Source organism: Homo sapiens, chromosome 20 (assembly GCF_000001405.40).
Source record: "Homo sapiens chromosome 20, GRCh38.p14 Primary Assembly".
NCBI classification, from domain to species: domain Eukaryota; kingdom Metazoa; phylum Chordata; class Mammalia; order Primates; family Hominidae; genus Homo; species Homo sapiens.
In genome coordinates, this window is record NC_000020.11 from 56369213 (window position 1) to 56392268 (window position 23056).

Sequence of the window (23056 nt, forward strand, 5' to 3'; positions counted from 1 at the left end):
ACAAAGATATGACAAATATATAAACAATATATATAATGAAGTATTAGGAGTACACCCAACAGGAGAGACCAGAAGAGGCAGGACTAGATGAGGGCGAGACCTGCTCCTCTCAGCCCCTGCTCATTTCCAGGCCAACAATGAACAGATGGTGGAAAGAATTACACAGCACTCCACACAGACATAGATACTTATTTATTTGCATATTTAAAGTTTACACACATGCTATGACTCCAATGTTTTAAAAAAATAAGCCCTTAACAGCTCTGAGACACATGGCCTCTTCTGTATCCCAAGCAAATCCCTAAATGGAGGTAGAGCACGTGTTCCTATTTTTCACACTCTCATATGGGAGATAAGTGGTTAAGGAGGACTAGAAACCCAATCAGGCCTACCGGGGTGCCGGACAGACACACAGCATTCCTAAAGGAATGCCACCAGAGAAAAAATACAAGTCTGTACATATATCTTTATTTTCATACTTAAAAAGAATCACATACTCATTCCAACAGCTTTACCAGGCTTCGCCAACCCAATAAGTTACACACTCACTCAGGTACTAGGAAGGTTATTGCACAGCTCCTTAACTGATCGGGGTCAGGGCAGAGTGGTCACTTTCCCCACAGCCAGGCTCTGGATTTGCCTCCTGTGAAGACACCATGCCTAGCACAGGCTGACGGGGCGGCTGCAGTCGAACCTTGCCTCCAGATTATGAACCAGTATAAGTAGCACAATTCTCGTGGCTACTTTCACTTCAGAGTGTCATGTTTATTGATGTGGAGCTTTCTGAATAGGGAGGTTAAGGCACACCTGCTGAGTAAAACAAATATTTCTTGTGTAGCGTTCTAGATTGAGGGCAGCAGTCAATGGTAAAATAAACTTCAGTAGCATGTTCCTGTCAGGTTATATGGCAGCCCTGGCTCAAGGATTTCTCCCCCTGCACGATTCCTAAGACTGTTTGCTAGCTGATTCTTTGTTTTGGCAATTTGATGGTTTTGATGAATTTGCTGTGATCCAGGGGTGTTCAAGTACTTCTCTGAGCATTGGCCTCTGGCTGGGATTATGCTTCAACAGTCTTGAAATGAGGTCCCTGGCTCCCTCTGTTACAAAGTCAGGGAATGTGAATTCAACCTGGAGTACAACAAATGATAAAATATCACAAAACACAGGTTAGAGAGATCAAATAGTATAGATGTTCGGATCTTGGCCTGCAGTTCAGGCTGATAAGGAAAGAATTCCAGCAGATGTGCTGGGTCCTTTTCAGTTGCGTCTTACCCGTGATATTCTTTTGTAGGTCTCTTGGTATGTGTTTGCCTCAAAAGGAGGCTTCCCAACTAAAAATTCATAGCAAAGAACTCCAAGGCTCCAGAGATCCACCTTCTCATCATGCATCCGACCTTCAATCATTTCAGGGGGCAGGTAGTCCAGGGTGCCACAGAGAGTGGTCCTCCTGAAAACGGAGGGAGGCTCAGGTTGATGTGCTTCTCGTTTTATGATCACAACAGCTGCTAACAATCATTAAAGAGTCCACTAACACTGAGGTCTTCCCCTGGGCCAGATCCTGTGCCCTAGGAAGTAGCTACTATTATAAATTCCCATAGGAAACAGATGAAGCGAGGTGTGTAAGGTCACACAGCTAGCCATCAGGCTTAACCCCAAATCTGTCCAACTCCAGAACCTCCCTGAATAATCTAGAATGTAAGAAACTGAATGTATCACTACCATATAAAAGCTGCCATGCAAAGTTCTCTGTAAATACGATTTGGATTCTACATCTGCATGTGGATATTACAGATATGCTAAGAATCTTAAAAGCCTGGTCGCAATGACAATACACTAGAAACTGTCCCACTGTAACAGCACTGGGGTGGAGATGTAGACACATGCTGCCTTGTGATAGATACTTGGTACGAGTGATGCTGAAATTTTGAGGGTGGCCTATGAAGTACTCTTGCCAAAAATATTTAACCTGGCTGGGTGCAGTGGCTCATGCCTGTAATGCCAGCACTTTGGGAGGCCGAGGGAGGCGGATCACGAGGTCAGGAGATCGAGACCATCCTGGCTAACATGGTGAAACGCCGTATCTACTAAAAATACAAAAAATTAGCCGGGTGTGGTGGTGTGCGCCTGTAGTCCTAGCTACTCAGGAGGCTGAGGCAGAAGAATGGCGTGAACCCGGGAGGCGAGCTTGTAGTGAGCCAAGATCGCACCACTGCACTCCAGCCTGGGTGACAGAGCGAGACTCTGTCTCAAAAAAAAAAAAAAATTTTCTTAACCTGAATCTCTTCAGGACCTGAGACCTACATTCCAGTTTTCAGCAAATACGGGGAATAAAGGTCCAAGTTAAGTGGCAACACAATCAGAAAAGTCCTCTTTAAAGTGGGAGACTGGTCTGGCTTTAGACCACAGAGACAATCCAACCACAGAGACAGTCCAACCACAGAGACAGTCCAACCACAGAGACAATCCAACCACATAGACAGTCCAATACAAAGCATGGGCTTTGGTTGAGTTCTGATTTTACAAACCAGCTATAAGATGTCATGGACAATAGGAGAAATCTGAATGTGGACTAAATATTAGATACTGACAATGCTGTTAATTTTCTTAGGAGTGATCATGGTTCTAGTTATATAGGAGAATATCCTTATTTAGGAAATGCATTCTATTATAGTGCTTAAGGTTGAAGCATCATGATGTTTGCAACGTATTTTCAAGTGTTCACTAAAAAAGCAGATGCAGCCCTTCTGACTAAATGGGAAAAACTGCTGAACGTAGGCACTGTATAGACAGGTATGCCATCAACTACCAATTCCGCATTTTTATCGGTTTAGGTTTTTTTAACGAAGGTTGGAAAAAAGCTGGGAACAGCAGACAGCAAGCCAGAACAGTCTGTGTGGGTTCGTGTTGCTTTGTTATCAGCTGCTCTTCACCATGGAGGCTTACGTGGTCACAGCCCTGGTGCTGTGTTCAGCCAGGCCTGGCACCCACTGAGCACACAAACAGTCACTCACCACTGAATTGTGACGTAGGATTAAGAAGCTACCACTCTGGTCATCTAACCCCTCCATCAGCACCGACGGACTGAATCGGGGGTTCTCAAACTGAGGCAATAACCAGGAAATGATGATGATTAACATCTGGGATTTGGAGTGAAGTGACTATCGGTTATGTAAGTAATCTTTTCAAAAAGCAAGAAGCCATCTTTTCTATCACAATTCAACCGGTTAAGATACAGTTTAACTCTGCGATTCCATGAAGCCTGTAAGTCTTTATTCTGGTTTGTCTCACCAGATAACAGCTCCCACTAATGACAACCAGTTTAAAAAAAAAAAAAAAAAAAAAGACTGCAATAGCAGATTCAGTGCATTGCTGGAACAATTAGAAGTGCTCTGTAACAAAAGCAAAGGTTTTCTCCCTCATATTCTATTTTAGGCTATACTTTTTTTTTAACTAGCTTGATTTTTAAGTCATTTGGCTATAATTTGAGTCCTCCTCCAAAGTTGACAAAACTTCATCGGTAGATATATGTTTTAAAATGCCCCACTTCATGTGAAGTTTCAAAGCTTATTTAAACTCAAATTTAAAACAGTAAAGATATTGTAGTTCACTTGGAAAGCTAAGATTTGAATTGTTTTGAGACTGACATCTCTGCTTCAGCTGTGACAGGGGATAAGAAAGGACTATCCCTACTATTGACAGAGGCAGACTGAAGAGAATCTCTCACCACTGCCCTCAAAGCACCACCAAACTAATTTAGTGTTTCAAGTTCCCTGATATGGCCTGCACTCTGAGCTCTAGATCTTTGTCAGTGCTGTCCTCTGAACCATCTCCCCATCTCCTCATCCAGGAAGCAGCAGAGGTGAAGAGTTCCTCCCACTCAACATGTGGGCACTTCACCTCTGTCATATACGTGTCCTATCTGTTGACTCATTCATCCCTTCATTAGCCTCTAAGGACATTAAGCATCTTCAACCCTAGGCCTAGAACACTGCTAATAGCCCCAAATCTCCACAGAATAACACTTTCTTGCAAACCCTAGTTTATTATTAAGCCTAAATTACTCCAAAGTACTTCTGGGTTAGCCACCTACCCCTCTTACAGCACAAAATCTACACTGAAATATTTTACATTTAGCTCACGGTTAGCTCCCAGGGCTTTGGTAAACCAAACAACTTCCACCTCTAAAGTTACATACCTGGAAGATGGAGCATGTACTGACCACCCAAAATCTGCAATTTTAAGCTCTCCAGCTGATCCAAGAAGTAAGTTCTCTGGCTTAATGTCTCTATGAATAACTCTCTTCGAATGACAGTAAGACAGGGCATTTGCCAATTCTGTTATATACTGTTAAAACAATATTGAAAGCCTATGTTTTAGATTTTATATAACACAAGTTAATATTAGACATCTCTTCCGAAAGGAACACAACATAGATTTAACATGGTTTGCAGGTTTTGGCCAGGCACAGTGGCTCACACCTATAATCCCAACACTTTGGGGGACTGAGGTGGGAGGATCACTTGAGCCCAGGGGTTCAAGACCAGCCTGGGAAACATAGCAAGACTCCATCTCTACAAAAATTTAAAAATTAGCTGAGCGTGATGGTGCATGCCTGTAGTCCCAGCTACTTGGGAGGCTGAGGCAGGAGGATTGCTTGAGACCAGGAGGTCAAAGCTGCAGTGAGCCATGATCACACTTCAGCCTGGGTGACAGAAGGAGACCCTGTCTCAAAAAGGAAAAGACAAAACAAAAAATACATTTTGCAGGTTTTAAAGCAAGGATTGTAGAAATTATATAGGAGTCTACACACACACACACACACACACACACACACACACATCAACTGAACCAATTTATAGTGGTTAGCATGAAGTGAAATTACCCAATGCTTAGTCATCTCTGCTAATACAGCTGGTGTGATGTTGAAAGTCAGAAAAGACATTCAGCCAGTTAGAGCTAGCTCTTAGGCTGGTGCCATGTCAATGCAAAACACAGTTACTTTTGCACCAACCTAAAGTTACAACACCATACGGCAACAAATGGCCCTGCAGCCAGGAAGTAAGACAGTGCTGAAGAACTGGTACAAATTAAGGATTCAGATGTGTAAATACTGCCTTTTTCTTTTTTAGAAAAAAAAAATGAACTTTGCAAGTATAGTCAATTCCCTTTTTTAAAACCAAGGTCATTCTGTGACAGAAGAATTTGTTTAAAGCTAAAAATTTACTTCAAGAATATCAGGAGAAAAAATTATCCTGAACAATAAACAGAAACTAAAAAGCAGTTGCACTGACATATTAAATAGCATGTTAAATTTTGGGTTACACTAAGTCAGCATAGAAGTACATAAGAAATCAGTCCTTTTGTTAATTTTATTTCCTTAAGTTACTATCTTTTTTTTTTTTAATAGAGATGGGGGTCTCACTATGTTGACCAGGCTGGTCTCAAACTCCTGGCCTCAAGTGATCCTCCCATCTCAGCCTCACAACGTGCTAGGATTACAGACATGAGCCACTGCACCCGACCGAATTACCATCTTGTAAGAAAAGTTTTCCTGGCCAGGTGCAGTGGTTCATACCTGTAATCCCAGCACTTTGGGAGGCCAAGACAGGTGGATCACCTGAAGTCAGGAGTTCGAGACCGGCCTGACCAACATGGTGAAACCCTGTCTTTACTAAAAATACAAAAATTAGCCAAGTGTAGTGGTGCATGCCTATAATCGCAGCTACTCGGGAGGCTGAGGCAGGAGAATTGGTTGAACCCAGGAGGTAGAGGTTGCAGTGAGCCGAGATCATGCCATTGCACTCCAGCCTGGGCAACAAGAGTAAAATTCCGTCTCAAAAAAAAGCAAGAAAAAGAAAAGTTTTACAGTCCCTATCGCTAAGATTTAGCAAACAAGTCCAGTATGTATGTATTTACTTATTTATTTTTAAGAGACAGGGTCTCACTCTGTCACCCAGCCTGGATTGCTATGGCATGATCATACCTCACTGCAGCCTTGAACTCCTGGCCGTAAGCAATCCTCCCACCTCAGCCTCCTTCCGAGTAGCTGGGACTACAGGTGTGTGCCACCATGCCCAGCTAATTTTTAATCTTTCTTTTTTTTTTTTTTTTTTTTGTAGAGACAGTCTCCCCATGTTGCCTACGCTGGTCGCTAATTCCTGACCTCAAGTGATCCTCCCACCTTGGCCTCTCCAAGTGCTGAGATTACAAGCGTGAGCTACCATGCCTGGCCCAGAATTTATTTTAACATACAGATAACTGTTTGAATATTGAAAAAATATATTTAGCTCTGCCTAAAGTTTGAGAAGAGTTTGCTTTCTACAGCAATTTCTAGACAGGATTGAACATTATTTTACATCAAAAAGGTTTACTAAACAGATGAGTAAAAACCAAATGTCACTGTCAGAATAAACACTTTTCATTCTTTCAGCCCAAAACCGGAGATCAAAATTCAGACCACAATAAACTGAAGGCAAATACAAAGAAAGCTGCTCTTCTGACCACCAACTTTGAGTTGCTGATGCTTTAATTGCACACATTAAAGTTTGAGAGGGCAATGGATTTCACTCCTCAAATCACTTCCAGACAAGAAGCTATTAGTTTCATGATAGCCCTCTGGCACTGCCACTTCCTCCACACCTCACATGTTGTTAGATTGCAGATATGGATAGGTCACTGACATGTCACTACAATTAGTTTTATTTGAATTCATCTGAAAAGGAAAACAGGTACATGTGTATTCATTCTAACTGCTAAGGAATCTAGACAGAAATGATCTTTCATTTTCTTTCAAACAGCTATCTGCTTACACCAAAACTCCATCTAGATTGAAGCCTTGGGTGTAAGGAGAGAAAACAGAGAAGTAGTATAATGTGTAATTTTGTAGTGTTGGTATAAGGTGAATCTTTTAAAGTAGGATATCAATATCAGAAACTGAAGAAAAAGATTAACTGACCTGAAACAACAAACTACAACCCACCATAAGCAAGATTACCAGGAAAAAAACCAAGGGTAAAATGTGAGTACCTGAGGTAGAGTCACTACCATTAATGAGCATAGATTTACTTATTGATCTGTAAGAGAAAGTTGGCCCAAAAGATGAACTCAAAGAAATATTAATTGCCAATTAAATAAGAAGCTGATTTGTTTAGCTAATATTTAAAAAAGCAAATTAGAGATCTATTTCTACTTAGGAGAAGCACAAACATTTAAGATTAAGTCTTTAAAACAGCATGTCATTGTTGCAGAGACAAGACCAAAGAGCCATTTGTCCATAGTAGCATGATTTCATCAGATACTGAAAGTAAAATTACTTGAATTTAAATGCCATTTACATCAATGCCAAAAAGAGAACTAATGTCCACACTACCCGGAGATCTCCACCAAGAAACAGAAAAAAATCAAAGTAACCACCATTCAACATGCTTTATCAAGCTGCCAATCCAATAAGAAACGGCCCAAACTAAGACTCTTCAACTTCTTAAAACAAGTAATTTTAATCACATAAAAAAGGAGAAGCAAAAAAGCACAATCATGAAAGAAAAAACTGACACATTTGGACTTTTATTAAAAATACAGCCTGGGAGGCCGGGTACAGTGGCTCATGCCTGCAATCCCAACACTCTGGGAGGCCGAGGTGGGCAAATCACCTGAGGTCAGGAGTTCAAGACCAGACTGGCCAACATGATGAAACCCTGTCTCTACTAAAAATACAAAAATTAGCTGGGCGTGGTGGCTCATGCCTGTAATCCCAGCTACTCAGGAGGCTGAGGCAGGAGAACTGCTTGAACACAGGAGGTAGAAGTTGCAGTGAGCTGAGAACCAAGATCACGTCACTGCCCTCCAGCCTGGGTGACAAAGCAAGAATGCCTCAAAAAAAACAACCTGGGCAACATGATGAGACCGTGTCTATACAAAAAATACAAAAATTAGCTGGGCGTGGTGGTACCCACCTGTAGTCTCACCTACTCAGGAGGATCACTTGAGCTCAACAGGCAGAGGCTGCAGTGAGCAGAGATCGCACCACTGCACCCCAGCCTGGCTGACAGAGTGAAACCCTTTCTCAAAAAAATAAATAAAAAACAGCCTTGTGAAAGACACAGATAAGAGAACAAAAATACAAGGCACGGATTGGGAGAAAATATTTGCAAAACATGTGTGACAGATGACCTGCATCCAAAATATACAAAGAACTCTTAAAACTCAAAACTCAAAAAAAAAAAGAGCAAAAGATTTCAACAGGTGCCTCAAAGACGATACACAGATGGCAAATAAACACATAAAAAGATGTTCAAGGCCGGGCGCAGTGGCTCACGCCTATAATCCCAGCACTTTGGGAGGCCGAGGCAGGTGGATCACAAGGTCAAGAGATCAAGACCATCCTGGCCAACATGGCGAAACCCCATCTCTACTAAAAGTACAAAAATTAGCTGGGCATGGTGGCACGTGCCTGTAGTCCCAGCTACTCAGGAGTCTGAGGCAGGAGAATCGCTTGAACCCAAGAGGCGGAGGTTGCAGTGAGCCAAAATCGCACCACTACACTCTAGCCTGGTGACAGAGCGAGACTCCGTCTCAAAAAAAAAAAGAGACGTTCAACATCAAATGTCATTAGGAAACTAGAAATCAAAACAATGAGATACCACCACATGCCGATTAGAATAACTAAAATGCAAAACAAGAGGCCAGGTATAGTGGCTCACTCCTGTAATCCCAATATTTTGGGAGGCATGAATTACTTGAGACCAGGATTTCGAAACCGACCTGGGCAACAAGGCAAAACCTTGTCTCTACAAAAAAATACAAAAATTAGCCAGGCACGAGAGCACATGCCTGTAGTCCTAGCTACTTGGGAGGCTGAGATGGGAGGATTGCTTGAGCCAGGGAGTTTGAGGTGGGTGATCATGCCATTGCACTCCAGTCTGGGCGACAGTGAGACCTTGTCTCAAAACAAACAAACAAAAATCCAAAACACTGACATCAAATGTTGGCAACTATGAGAAGCAAGAGGACCTCAATTCATTGGTTCCGATACCACATTACCGTTGTATAATGGTATCAGAATTGTTAACCAGCTGCCCCACGGAAACCAACTTTATCAATTAGAGTGCTTATGTGCACTTCCTTTGGCCTTTGTCTTATAGACTCCACTCATCTCCAAAGCTGCTTGGATCAACACTTTACCCTCATGCCCTTTAGTAAGGTGATTTCCTACATTTGTAATGCAATGTAAAATATAATGTAAAAATCACTTTGGAAGACTGACAGTTCCTCACAAAGCAAAATATAGTCTTACCGTATGAGCTGGCAATAGCACTCCTATATATGTGCCCAACTAATTTGAAGACTTGTTTCGCAAAAACCTGCATGCAAATGTTGACAGCCAAAACATGATAACTGCCAAAAACCAGAAGCAGCCAAGATACCCTTCAGTAGACGAATAAACTGAGGTACTTCCATATAATGAAATAATGGAATATGATTTTGTGATAAACAGAAATGAACAAGCTCTCATGCCTCCAAAAATACACAGATGAATCTTCAATGCATATTGCTAAGTGGAAGAAGCCCACCTAAAAAAGCTACATACTGTTATGATTCCAATTACATGATATTCTGGAAAAGGCAATAGAGACAGTAAACAGATCAGTGGTTGCCAGAGATGGAAGGGTTGGAAGGGATGAGTAGTTGAGACACAGGATTTTTTTTTTCTTAAGAGCAGCGAAACTATTCTCTATATCATAATGGTGGATACATGGCATTGTGTATTTGTCGAAATTCATAGAACTTTACAGCAAACACACAAAAATCAATCTCAGGATATGAAAATGTAAATGATTCCATCCTGGGCATGCAGATTGTGACAAAAAAATCTCATTGCATTACAAATGTAGGAAACCACCTTACTAAAGGGCATGAGGGTAAAGTGTTGATCCAAGCAGCTTTGGAAATGAGTGGAATCTATAAGACAAAGGCCAAAGGAAGTGCACATAAGCACTCTAATTGATAAAGTTGGTTCCCACGTGGCAGCTGGTTAACAATTCTGATACCATTATACATGTATATTGGAATTGAATAAGTAAAAGGATGGTGGGCGGTGAAATCCAGGTTTCACACTTTTGGAGTGGGAGTTTACAGGTAAACAGGAGGAAGTTAGAATGAAACGTGGTAATGGATTCAAGTTGAAGACATCAGTATGAATTCATGGTATGCTTAATGAAGAGATAGATGGATAAATCTATACACAGATTACTATCCACATATATTCCCTTGCTGTGTCAGCTGAAAGCCTAAAAGTAGTGACACCATAGTAGCAATGAGTACACCAAGTGCCCAGAGCTTGGTTTCTAATAACATTCTCCAAGAAAAGGAAACAGGGCTCCTTGGAGAAGTGGTTCGATTCTAGGACTGGAGCAGGAAATATACACGATGAGGCCTGAGCATCTTGTATCAGAAAGTAAGGAAGTACAAGGCCAGGCGTGGTGGCTCACACCTGTAATCCTAGCACTTTGGGAGGCTGAGGCGGGCAGATTACCTGAGGTCAGGGGTTAGAGACCAGCCTGGCCAACATGGCAAAACCCCATCTCTACTAAAAATACAAAAATGAGCCGGGTGTGGTGGTGCATGCCTGTTAATCCTAGCTACTCAGGAGGCTGAGGCAGGAGAATCGCTTGAACCCAGGAGGTGAAGGCTGCAGTGAGCCAAGATTATGCCACTGCACTCCAGCCTGGGCGACAGAGTGAGATTCCATCTCAAAAAAAGAAAAAAAAAAAAAGGAAGTGTAAAAACAAACCAAAAAAAAACCACACACACGCAAGACAAAACTGCAATGATTTTCCCAGGAACCTGGTAAAACAAAAAGAGCAGGCCGGGCACGGTGGCTCATGCCTGTAATCCCAGCACTTTGGGAGGCTGAGGTGGGTGGATCACAAGGTCAGGAGTTCAAGACCAGCCTGGCCAATATGGTGAAACCCCGTCTCTACTAAAAATACAAAAATTAGCCAGGTGTGGTGGTGGGTGCCTGTACTTCCAGCTACTTGGGAGGCTGAGGCAGAAGAATCGCTTCAACCTGGGAGGCTGAGGTTGCAGTGAGCCAAGATAGCGCCACTGCACTCCAGCCTGGGCGACAGAGTGAGACTCCGTCTCAAAAAGAAAAAAAAAAAAAAAGAAAGAAAAAAAGTTCCCAGTGGCCAAAGTTGCAATGATCTGAACCACAAAATAAAGTATTGCATTATAGCTCAAGAGATAAAATAAATACCCAGGAGTCTACATCTTTAAATAAATAAATGATTAAATAAATAAGGGAGAACAGCCTTATCTCTGGCACAGAATTCCAGATAATTTATGGCAATACTCCATCCACTCTCTACTCCTTAAGTGTGGGCTATTCATAGTAACTTCCTTTGAAGAAATACAGCACGGAAAGGGGAAAAAATAGTAACTTTACAGTGGAGAAACCAGACAAACACTCTCTGAGTCAGAAGATCAAGCTGACATCCACAGTTAAAAGTCATAAGAGTTTACATCCCTGGTATGTGATAAGAATGCACTTTACCTCTGATCTCCCTCTCAAAAACCCATAAGCCCAATTTAATCATGAGAAAAACTAAGAAAATCTGAATAAAATGTGGACTTGAGTTAATAGTTATATATCAATATTGGTTCATTGAATGTGACAAATGTGCCATATTAATGCAAGATGTTAGTAGGAGAATTAGTAGGAAATTCAGTGTGGGGTATATGGGAACTCTCTGTACTGCCTTCACAATTTCTGTAAATCTAAAACTATCCTAGCCAGGTACAATGGTGTGCACCTGTAGTCCCAGCTACTCGGGAGGCTGAGGTGGAGAATCACTTGAGTCCAGCCTGGGCAACATAACAAGACCCTGTCCCTTTAAAAAAAATAAAATAAAATAAAAATTATTCTAAAATAAAACATCTATTAAAGAAAATGAGGGTGACTATCTATATACATTATATACATTTCCATAGAAAACAGCTGTGCAAACTAGGCACAAAAGCAGATACAACATTCTACCTGGTTCTAGACTTTATCTGTACATATGGTACAACTAAGCTATTTTGATTTTTCCACTTCAAATATTTGATATTAAGCTATCCTTACGTCAAGACAAAACCCACTCTACTATGATGAAAGGTACATTGCTATGGAGGACAGGTATAAAGGAAACACAATTAGCCTGGACAATAAATGAACACTTACAGTAGCAGTTCTCTGCTCATCAAACTTTGAAAGTTTCTGAAGTTCTCTATAAACTGTTCCAAGTGGTGCATATTCCAGAATTAGGTAGACTCTGGTAGCATCATGGAAATAACCATACAGTCTAAGAATATTAGGATGCCTGCAACAAAGGATAAACATTCTAACACTTGGTTTGGAGCTCACAGAAGACTATGTACAAAATGTCAAACAAACTCTTCATGTAAAACCAGTGGTGTTTCACATGAAACCACACTCCAAACCCCACTTTAGAATCTGAAACTATAAACCCACTCCAAGAAAAATACATACACCCACATATCATTTTAAAAGCACTTCACAGTATTAATGGACCTCTGGTTTAGTTAAGACTATTTCCTTCCTTTAGGCACCTTTATTCTTAGGAGGAAAATTCAGCTGAATATTAATTATCTACATATTAAAAAAAGGACATGGCCGGGCACAGTGGCTCACGCCTGTAATCCCAGCACTTTGGGAGGCCGAGGCGGGAGGATCGCGAGGTCAGGAGTTCAAGACCAGCCTGGCCAACATGGTGAAACCTCGTCTCTACTAAAAATACAAAAATTAGCTAGGCTTGTTGGTGCATGCCTGCAATCCTAGCTACTCAGGAGGCTGAGGCAGGAGAATCGCTTTAACCTGGGAGGCAGAGGTTGCAGTGAGCTGAGATTGCGCCACTGCACTCCAGTCTGGGCAACAGAGCGAGACTCCATCTCAAAAAAAAAAAGGAAAAAAAAAAAGGACATGGCATTGCCACAGTAGTTTGACACCCAGACACTGTGACAGATAAAAGCAGTGATCAGTAATGGCAGTAGATGGGTGCTGAGCAGACTGGGCAGGTGCAGACTGTGGCCAGCGGGAAGCAGGCAATGGGAAGCACAGCCCATGTGAGATGCCTGCCCCTCCCAGCCCCAGCCAGGTGTTGCCAGGCAGAGACACACCAGGCCTGATGTGGCCAGACTTGAAGTATTAGCATCTGATTCAAATTTGAAAAACACTGAAAGAAAAAAAGGAAAAACAAAAACCCACCAGCCGTAGTCAACCTGCAGGTAGCTGCTCGCAATTCCTGCATACCTCAGAATAAGGGGTGCCATTCCCCTTCACTGTCCACCAGAAAGACTTGCCCATATAAACTATTCTATTAACAAAACATTAAATCCTCAAGTGATTTTTCCAGGATCAGAGCACTTAAGTGCTCTTTGAAAGATGACAAATTTAATCATTTTTTGTGGTACTATGAAAAGCAGGCCCTCTAAAAAATAAATTTATACTTAAAAAAAAAAAAAGGAATACAATTTTATTTTAACATGCAGAGCATGGGAGAATCACAGGAGAATGCTTATAACCCAGTGCAGTACAGAAGCTTATCTAATCTTTTTCATAGGGGAGGGGGAGGTGAGGAACGGGGCCATGCATTTGAAGGCAGTGCCTCGTAAGAGGGAGTGAAGGGACCTGGGCAGTGGGAGGCTGACATTACAGGAGGGGGAGGGGTGCAGCATTGGTGAACATTCTTTTGAACATGAACCTGAAAACTCACCGAAGGTGGGACTGTATTTCTACTTCTCTTCTGAGCTGATGCTCCACTCCGGCTTTCTCCAGCTGAGCTTTAAATAACACTTTAAGAGCCAGAATAAACTTGCTTTGCTTTTCTCTTGCCAAATAAACATTACCAAACTTTCCTTTACCCAGAGGGCGACCAATTTCAAAGTCTTCCAAAGCCCACTGCCTCCTAGGAGGAATTTGAACACTTTAGAATGTGAAGAAAACAAAGCTTTTCTAACAAATTTTCAATGAGTAGCAGACACATTCTACAAATAATTTCGTATTCCAACTTCACTCAATATGCATCCTCAGCAAGAACCAAGGCAATAACCACTATCAAAGAGCTGCCACGACATGAAACCCTGACGTCCCTAGCTGCCGTCAGGTGTGAGAGTCAGTGACAAGGAGCAGTCTCGGGTTTTAGACCTGAAGCACTCTATGGGAAATGTCCCAAGCCCGTACTATGCTCAGAGGAACAGGGCCATGACAACGCTGAAGACCACAAAAAGGATAAGTGACCAGAGAGGGAGGAATGCTTCCAGACCATCTGGGGGCATGTTTCAAACTAACCCCAGCTGCTCCCTCCAGTCCCAGAGGTGCTAATTCTCTCTGGGTGGAGAACCACTCTGGTGGTGGAGACAGAGCCACTGTTACTAATGGAAGCGGGATGGAGCCCACAGGCTAGCTGGGGCATGAGAACCAGTGGATTTAGACTCTTAGCCTCTGTTAGACCGCTAAAAGCAAAAGAGTCTGTGGGTTCATTCCTCGCTCCTCCCGGTACATTCTAGAGTCCAGATAGTTCAGAGACTGAGAGGAGGCTTTTAGAAAAGCCCTGGGGAAGACATTACAGCCAACCTTTACAATAAAGAACTAAAACTATAATACTGTCAAAACCCTCAGTCATATATGAGTATATAGTTCTGCAACATATTCTATTTTTTAAAAACTTGCACTTTTGTACAATAAAAAAGTACAGACGCATAAACCATATGTAGTGGTTATTTCTAAGGACAGAGAGGAACTTCCACACATTTCTATAAAAGATTCATACAAGCTTTTTCTAAATTTGAAAGCCATTTTTTAAAGCACTTGAGTTCCTAGTAAAATACCTCATTACACAAAATTCCATTTTTTTTAAGATTGGAAATCTGGAAACATTTATATCCTCTAAATGCAAATAAAGGCCTCATTTTTTTCCCCAGAGTTCCCACAACGAAATTTGCAACGAAATAATATATTCTAGTAGAACAGTACAGAACTTTGTAAATAAGAAAGCTTACTTTTTTGATTCTTCATTTTTCTGTTTTGATGCCAGTTCCTCCTCAGGATTATTTTCTATATGGAATAAGTTAAAAACCTGTTTTTAGAATAACTATATAGGATAAGCTAAGCTGTGAATAGAGGTGAATCAAAGAATTGGTCACCAAAATATTAATGGTATGTCAAGAATGATAAATCTGTTTTTTTTTTTTAAAGTTTTCCTTATAGAAAAAAAGGACTACTACACCCTGACTTCCATCATGTGAAGCCTTTATAGAATTTCTAAAGATGAGCAGACGTATATATAGACAGGCCCTTCTCTGATAAATTAAAGGCAGACTATGCAGGCTCTTCTGAAGCCTCAGTTTCCAAAGAAGAGCTTTTGTGGCAGAAGTACCAATCTTCCCATGCATGACGAGCTGCCAACTCGTCACCTTTTTCCCCTTACTAGGTGGGCCAGCCAACAGTCCATACCCTACATACGAATTATCACCAACATGTAGCAAAACATAAGCCAGCCACCCTCCATTTATATTAGCTGCCAAGGGGAAATATAAAAATAAAAGCCACCAATTCAGCAAAATGCACAATGAACAGTTGTGCAGCAGAGGACTGGGGTAACTATTTCATCAGCCACAAGGACATATGAAACATTTCCACTGGTCTGTCTCCAACATAGCAAACTCGAACAGCACACAATGCTCTGCTCAGATATCTGGATGCTGGTCCAAACTCTTCCTCCAGATGCCCCTGTCACATGTGCACCCCTCAACCCCCAGGACACTCACTCAATTAATATCAATCTAATCACCATCCCTAACTCCTCTTTATTCATCTTTCAGGTACAATTTATTGCCCAGTTCTAATGAGTCTGCATCGTAAATGAGCTCTCAAATTTGTGTGCACCTCTCCATCCTGGCTTGTCTTTGGATAAGTTAACTGCTTCTGAGTCTTAGCTTCCTCCTCTGTAAAACTGAGTTAATAACTGGCTACCTTCATGAAGTGGTTACGAAGATTGAAAGAGATGACGTGGATGAAGCACGCACTTATCTCAGAGCCTGCAGGGAATGAGCACTCAACAGTTGGTAAATAATTGCATCCACTCTGCTCCACACAGAGCAGGTTATTGCCATCTCTGACCTCAACCTCCTTCCTGTCTGGTACTCCTAAATCCAGCGTTCTACTCCAATTTATTCAGTACTTCCACAGTAAATTTTTTTTTTTTTTTTGAGATAGAATTTTGCTCTTGTTGCCCAGGCTAGAATGCAATGGCACAATCTCGGCTCACCACAACCTCCACCTCCTGGGTTCAAGCCATTCTCCTGCCTCAGCCTCCTGAGTAGCTGGGATTACAGGCGTGCACCACCACGCCTGGCTAATTTTGTATTTTTAGTAGAGACAGGGTTTCTCCATGTTGGTCAGACTGGTCTCCAACTCCTGACCTCAGGTGATCCACCTGCCTCGGTCTCCCAAAGCGCTGGGATTACAGGCGTGAGCCACTGCGCCTGGCCTTCCACAGTAAACTTTCTAAAAGGCAGAGTTCCCTTCTGAGTTCAAAAAAGCTTCAGTAGCTTCCAAATGCCCTAGAGATGAGGCCCCATTCCTTAACATGGCCAGCAATGCCCATGGTGACCTCACCGCAGCCTGCCTCAGTTCACCCACTTCTCTGGATTTCCCCCACACTTTAGATCTCAGTCCCTTCAAGTCACTTACTGCAAGCACCCTACATCCAGACTCAGTAACAAGCAATCAAAAGGACACCAATTTATGCTGTGTCCTCCCTGGGTGCCCAACTCTTCCAAGAGGGTGAGAATCAGGTCTGTATTTTTAGCATAGGTCTGGCCCATGGGCAGACACTGTTACTTCAACCCAGACACCATATTTTCTCCCCATCCTCAACAGATATAAAAGCTAAGGCTCCAAACAATAAGTGCAAGTATATACACTGGCTTTTTTAGCAACGACGACAAAGAAGGACTATCCAATGAGTCTCAAAAGCTAGTTTACCAGGTGCCGATGGCAGGGGCTGCTTGCTCTTTTGGGTGTTATTCAGTGGCCTGGAGACAGGATGAGGTACACTGGTTGCCTGCAATTGCTTCTGCTTCTGATTCTGAACCGGCTTGTGACTGGAGACAAGCTTTTGTGCTTGCAAAGGAATGCGCTGGGAAGAATTTGAAGGACACAAGACCCGCTGAGCCTGGCCACTATTTACAGGTAATGGATTCTGACAAGGAAATTGCTGAGTCACGAGAACACGTTTTGGACCTCCAACTGGAGCTGTAGCCTAGAATGGAAGAGAAAATAAACTTTCTGGCATTCATGAAAGCAAAAGATGAATATATTGAGAATTTCACAAAGTTTGTTCTCTAGTATAGCAAAATAATGAATGTCACTGATAAGAGATGGAAGGTGAAAAGGTATTTTAATCAGTACCTCCAGAGGATAGTTAGTATGTGGCTAAGAATACCTGAATGATACCTTCTATCCCCTCCAATTCCTCACCCCTAAAAATCATGCTTTATTAACAAATATCCATTAATGAAGGAGACACTTTCTAAAATTTCTCAATAATTTGGAAATAGACACTACATTGCTATTTGGCAAAAAGCTATGATACAAAAACTTTATGCCAAAATCTCAGTTCCATTGAAATTTCTTTGATAATATACGTTTAAGAAAAAGACCAAAAAAAAATACGTCAAAACGTTCAACAGTGGTATTATCTTCATGAAGTTTTAGAAGAGTCTAAGTTTTCATATATCGAAGATTTTCCACAATAAGCTTATTACTGTACTATTGATTAACCAATGTTTCATTTTCCAAGTATTGACAAAATGGAATTGAGCAAAAAACTGACAAAGAGGAAACAAATGTAGACACTTCACAAAGTTACTACTAAAATGTATTATTATTATTATTTTTGAGATGGAGTCTTGCTCTGTCACCCAGACTGGAGTGCAGTGGCATGATCTCGGCTCACTGCAACCTCTGCCTCCCAGGTTCAAGCAATTCTCTGCCTCAGCCTCCCAAGCAGCTGGGACGACAGGCGCCTGCCACCACGCCTGGCTAATTTTTTGTATTTTTAGTAGAAACAGGGTTTCACCATCTTGGCCAGGCCGGTCTTGAACTCCTGACCTTGTGATCCACTCTCCTTGGTCTCCCAAAGTGCTGGGATTACAGGCGTGAGCCACCGCGCCCAGCCTTGAAATGTATTATTTATACGCCTGTAAGTACTGTATTACAACCTTAAATTGTTAAGTTAACTCTAACACCCTCAGCTAATCAAACTAAAAGGGGTAGGAGGGATGAGATTTCCTTCAGCTTCAACAGCTCATTGTAAGTGAGGGACAAGTGCTAGAAATGAAAGCCTCAAAGTCCATCCCCAGCTCAACGGTATGAGTGCTCTACAAAGAGAGGGTGTTAAGACTTCCAAATACAAAGTCAGTTACTCCTGAAATTAGCACACTGTCCACAACGCAGCAGGCATTCAGACAAAGACAAATAAAAAGAAACATTTTAAATATAGAGCAATTTTTTAAATGGCCGTTATCATAGGAACTTAGAATCAAATACAGTAATTCAAGGTAGCCTTTTTCTAATTATTTTATATTTATGGCCAATTTTAAAAGTTTTGAACTCCTGCCAGATGCATTATTACTATTATCCTGCATACAGTGGAGGGATATAGAAACTTAAGCAGCCGATTATAAGACAAAGCAGAACAAAAAAGCTACTCTAAGAAGCAGCAAAATGTTACTGAACACGAGAAAAGTGACTAATTCATATCCAGGATCACAGTAAGGGATCTAAATTTAAATCCAAAGTAAAGGCGGAAAGAATTCCCGACAAGACCAACCTCCATGTGGGTTTATAAATGTGAATGAGATTACAGATTATTCAATTTACCTTAACAGGTCCTGAAATGCAGTTTTCTTTAGATCGGTCCATGATGCCTGAAAAGAAAAAGAAGAACCTTTAATTTGAACAAAGCCACCTGCTTAAAGTGCTGTTGCTCGATAGGCAGCGTTACAGTTCCCCAATCAAAAGGCCTCCACAACACACCGGATTTTACATGTTTTGTCCAAATGAAGCTAATGAGGGAGGGACAGGCATGTGCTTTCCCTGCAAGGCCAACCTCCCCTTGGGCACTGCGTCCCATCCTCTGTCACGGAGTCTTCACTCCTGATGGTCTTGCTGCTCCATCATCTCTCCTCTAATGGATCACTTCCATCCCTGTGCAGCCTACTGGCATACCTGCTACCTTAAAAAAGTCCTCTTTAGGCCGGGCATGGTGGCTTACACCTGTAATCCCAGCATTTTGGGAGGCCGAGGTGGGCGGATCACCTGAGGTCAAGAGTTCGAGACCAGCCTGGCCAACATGGTGAAACCCCGTCTCTACTAAAAATACAAAACTTAGCTGAGCGTGGTGGCAGTCACCTGTAATCCCAGCTACTCGGGAGGCTGAGGCAGGAGAATCACTTAAACCCAGGAAGCAGAGGTTGCAGTGAGCTGAGATCACACCATTGCACTCCAGCCTATGGGAAAAGAGCGAGACTTCGTCTCAAAACAATAAAATAAAATAAAAGTCCTCTTTATTCTATTATCGTTGCTAACAATGACCCCCTCCTCTCCAACAGCAAAGCTCCAGAAGAACCGTCCACACTTGCCACCTCTACTGCTCCTCTCCCCTCCCCTGAGCCCATCCCCACCTGGCTTTTTTGTCTCCACCACATTGTCAGGCTCATGGCTGACACCTACTGCTGCCAAACCCAAGGGTCAATTCCACCTTCCCCGTACTTGCATCCTCAGCAGAATCTGACAAGGTTGATCACATCTTACACTTTTTTCTTCACTTCACTTCCAGGTTTATCTACCACCTAGTCGTCCTGTCTTTCCCTCCTTGCTGGGTCAGTCTCATTTTTGCCAGATCAAGGGTCTGGGGTGACTCAAGAACGAGTCCCTGGACCCTCCACTTCTCCATCTACACCTTCACCAGGGATCCATATCACCCAGTGCCTCAGCTCTAAATGCCTTCATGAGGACCACTCAAAGTGCGTCTTCTGCCCTAGTCTCTCCTTGGACTGTCAGACTTGGATATCCAAGGATTTGCCCAGGATCTCCCAAAAATGTCTGCCAGGCACCTCAATCCTAACATATCCAAAACTGAACCTCTTCCCTTCTCCACTTCTCACCTCCCTGTTCATGGGTGTGCCCTGAGCTCAGGCCTAGAATGACTTCTCCATCTCCAATTACTCCCTAGCCGAGTACATCCAGTCTCTTTGCTTTCAGTACCATCTACAGGCTGAGGACTCCCAAATATTCATTCTTCAGCCCAGACCTCTCCCCTGAACTCTTGATCTACATTTTCTACTTTCTATGCAACATCTGCACCTGATTATCTGAGCGGCATCTCCATTCTAACATGTCCCAAACAGAAGTCCTAATCTCTCCCCACTCTCACCTCCCCAAATCTAGTCTCTAGACATCCTCATCTCAGTGCATGGCAAACCCATCCTGTCAGTTGCTCAGGCCAAAAGCCTTGGCATAATAACCCTTTACGAGGTTCTCTCTCGCAAACCCTTCATTTAATCCACCAGCATATTCTGTAGGCTCTGCCTTCAAGATCACTGCTCACCACCTCTACTACTACCACCTGGTCAAACCATTATTCTCTCTCCCTTGAGTTTTTTCCAACAGCCTCCCAATGGCCTCCCCACTTCCACCCTTACCCTGTCATGGTCCATTCTTAACACTGAGGCCGGCAATCTCATTAACAAATCAGATGTGTTGATCCTCAGTTCAGAAGACCCCCATGGCTCCCAACTCAATCAAAACAATGCAAACTCCTAACCTGCATAGACAGGCCTATTGAAGTCTCACAGAACATGGACCCTAACTACCTCTCTGACTTCATCTCCTCTTCTTGTCAACCGTGTACCAGCCACACAAGGCTTTCTTTCTGCAAATAAGTCCCCTGCCATAAGCATTTGCACTTCTTGCTCCCTTTATTACGCTTTTCCCCCAGGTGTGTAGTTCAGTCTTTCATTTCACTGAGGTTTCTTTTTTTTTTTTTTTGAGATAGAGTTTGCTCTTGTTGCCCAGGCTGGAGTGCAATGGCGCAATCTCGGCTCACCCGCAACCTCCACCTCCTGGGTTCAAGCAATTCTCCTGCCTCAGCCTCCAGAGTAGCTGGGATTACAGACATGCACCACCACGCCCAGCTGATTTTGTATTTTTAGTAGAGACAGGGTTTCTCTATGTTGGTAGGGCTGGTCTGGAACTCCCGACCTCAGGTGATCCACCCACCTCGGCCTCCGAAAATGCTGGGATTACGGGCATGAGCCACCGCGCCCGGCCTTCACTGAAGTTTCTTATCAAATATCCCCGCACTCTGGCCTGGGCAATGGAGTGAGACCCTGTCTCAAAAAAAAAAATTAAGATTACCATTTTACAATTAAGCAAATAATTCCATGATGAAGCCAGGCCCAGACTACAGGCTGCAGCCCTTATAAAAAAACAGTGGGTAAGTAAAAGTTGATAAACAGCAACAAGGAAATGCACACTTGTGTTAATCAAATATTTAATTTCACACATGCTCTAATGCTTTACTTCCCTTACAATTCTAAGTAGCAGTCTAATGAGATCACATAGGCCTAACAACATTTATTCAACATTCTTCTGACAGAAGCTACAGGCATTTGCTCCAATTTATTCTACCTTTCTTTCTAGGGAAATTGAATAACAAGCAGAATGGAATAAGATTCTAATCCAGAATTCTGGAGACAACGCCAAGGAGACTGCCCTTCAGGTGACTCTAATCTGCAACCAGATTGAAGAACCAGATGACTTTCACAGGATCCATTCAGTTCAAACCAGAAGTCCTACTATTTTGAATAGAAAAGCTGTTAGGCTAATAGCGCAGGAGGTTTATACGGTTTATTCCTTCCTCCCTCAGACCTGTGCATGTCTGCAGAGATGAAGGGAAGGACGAACTGAGTAGGTTGCTGAAAAACGTTTAATTCAAGGGACAAGGAAGGTTACGGAAGAGGAAGAGACATTACGAGAGTTAAGGACAGTGGCTACGTCTACCTCAGCCGGATGGTTCTTAGAAATGGAGACTCTGAGGCCTAACCCCAGGTCTAAAAAAACAGATTCTGCATTTTAACGTCCCCAGACGATTTGTATGCACCGGTCTGCATCCCTAGTTCTCAATGAAACCTAAGAATCATCTGGAGAGTTTGTTAATAACTAGACACCTGGGTCCTACCCCTCAGAGATTCTGATTTACCGGGCTCTCGGTGGAGCTATATGTTTAACAAGCACTGCAAGTTATCCCGGTACAACTGCTCCAAGGTCTACGGTCTGAGAAGTACGGACCGGGAAGGCCTCTGCAAGGAGGTTCTCATTCATCAATTCACCCACTCATCCAGCCAGGACAAGGGCCTTCTTAGGCTATTCTATCTAAAGCGGCCCCCGTTAAACCGCACTCCTGCTTTTCCTCTGTAACACCCACCCCAGCTGCAAGTTCTCCGTACGCTTACCGTCTGTCTCCCCACCCACTAGAACGTGAACTCCAACACAGCAGAGACCTTCTGTGCTTTTCTTACCCAGGTGATCTCGGAGGACAAAATCCAATCTGAAGCCCACCCACCCCTCCCGCGCATGTCAACACCACTCAACAAACCCCTTGTACCTCTAGCTGTAATAAGTAACAAGCAGTATCCTACAGGGCGCCTCGGTGCCCAGGAGCGGATGCAAAGGCGCTGGGCGGGCACAAGGCAGCGCCAAGGACACTCAGGGACGGAGGAACCGACAGGGGACTTGACGCTCCGCCACTCCGACCAGCCGCCCCTTGTCCCCGCCGTCCTCGTCCGCCACTGAGATATCCCCCACGGTCTACCCACCCGTCGGCTCCCACCTGCGACCCAAGGACCCAAGTCTTCCAAGAGCTCAGCCGTTAGAATTCAAAGGTTCTTCTTTTTAAATAGGAGTTAAACCCTCTAGCTAGAAAGCCGATTG

At 42.9% G+C, this 23056-nt stretch overlaps 1 protein-coding gene across 13 annotated transcripts, besides 1 other annotated feature; it reads right to left on the reverse strand.

Moving 5' to 3' along the window:
* Positions 178-23003, reverse strand: AURKA (aurora kinase A). Of its 13 annotated transcripts, none has more exons than NM_001323305.2 (11): positions 22956-23003; positions 21344-21453; positions 19475-19572; positions 18944-18990; positions 17045-17321; positions 15058-15112; positions 13773-13964; positions 12221-12359; positions 4196-4344; positions 1273-1447; positions 178-1128 (listed from the first exon to the last, which is right to left on the reverse strand). In NM_001323305.2, the coding sequence occupies exons 4-11, from the start codon at positions 18983-18985 to the stop codon at positions 946-948; spliced, it is 1212 nt and encodes a 403-aa protein (NP_001310234.1). In that variant the 5' UTR covers positions 18986-18990; positions 19475-19572; positions 21344-21453; positions 22956-23003; the 3' UTR covers positions 178-945. The 13 variants fall into 13 exon arrangements, with proteins under 13 accessions (NP_001310234.1, NP_001411347.1, NP_001411348.1 ...); NM_001424418.1 differs by having other exon boundaries at positions 19100-19572; NM_001424419.1 differs by having other exon boundaries at positions 19100-19572; positions 22942-23003.
* Positions 16874-18073: an enhancer, noted in NCBI's record as "BRD4-independent group 4 enhancer chr20:54961142-54962341 (GRCh37/hg19 assembly coordinates)". NCBI's record gives its function as "activates an origin of replication core promoter dependent on BRD2, P300/CBP, MED14 and CDK7 cofactors, and independent of BRD4, by STARR-seq in HCT116 cells {active_cell/tissue: HCT116}" and the evidence as "EXISTENCE:reporter gene assay evidence [ECO:0000049][PMID:35650434]".

Bases quoted from the DNA above. Each gene is read 5' to 3' on its own strand.
- AURKA (NM_001424418.1), bottom strand. From the start codon at position 19,196: ATGGGACGCAGTGCCCAAGGGGAGGTTGGCCTTGCAGGGAAAGCACAT. The intron at 18,991-19,099 runs GTGTGTTGTGGA...TTTTCTTTTCAG, and splicing joins GACAAAACATGTAAAATCCG to GCATCATGGACCGATCTAAA. The intron at 17,322-18,943 runs GTAAATTGAATA...CTTCCATTCTAG, and splicing joins GCATTTCAGGACCTGTTAAG to GCTACAGCTCCAGTTGGAGG.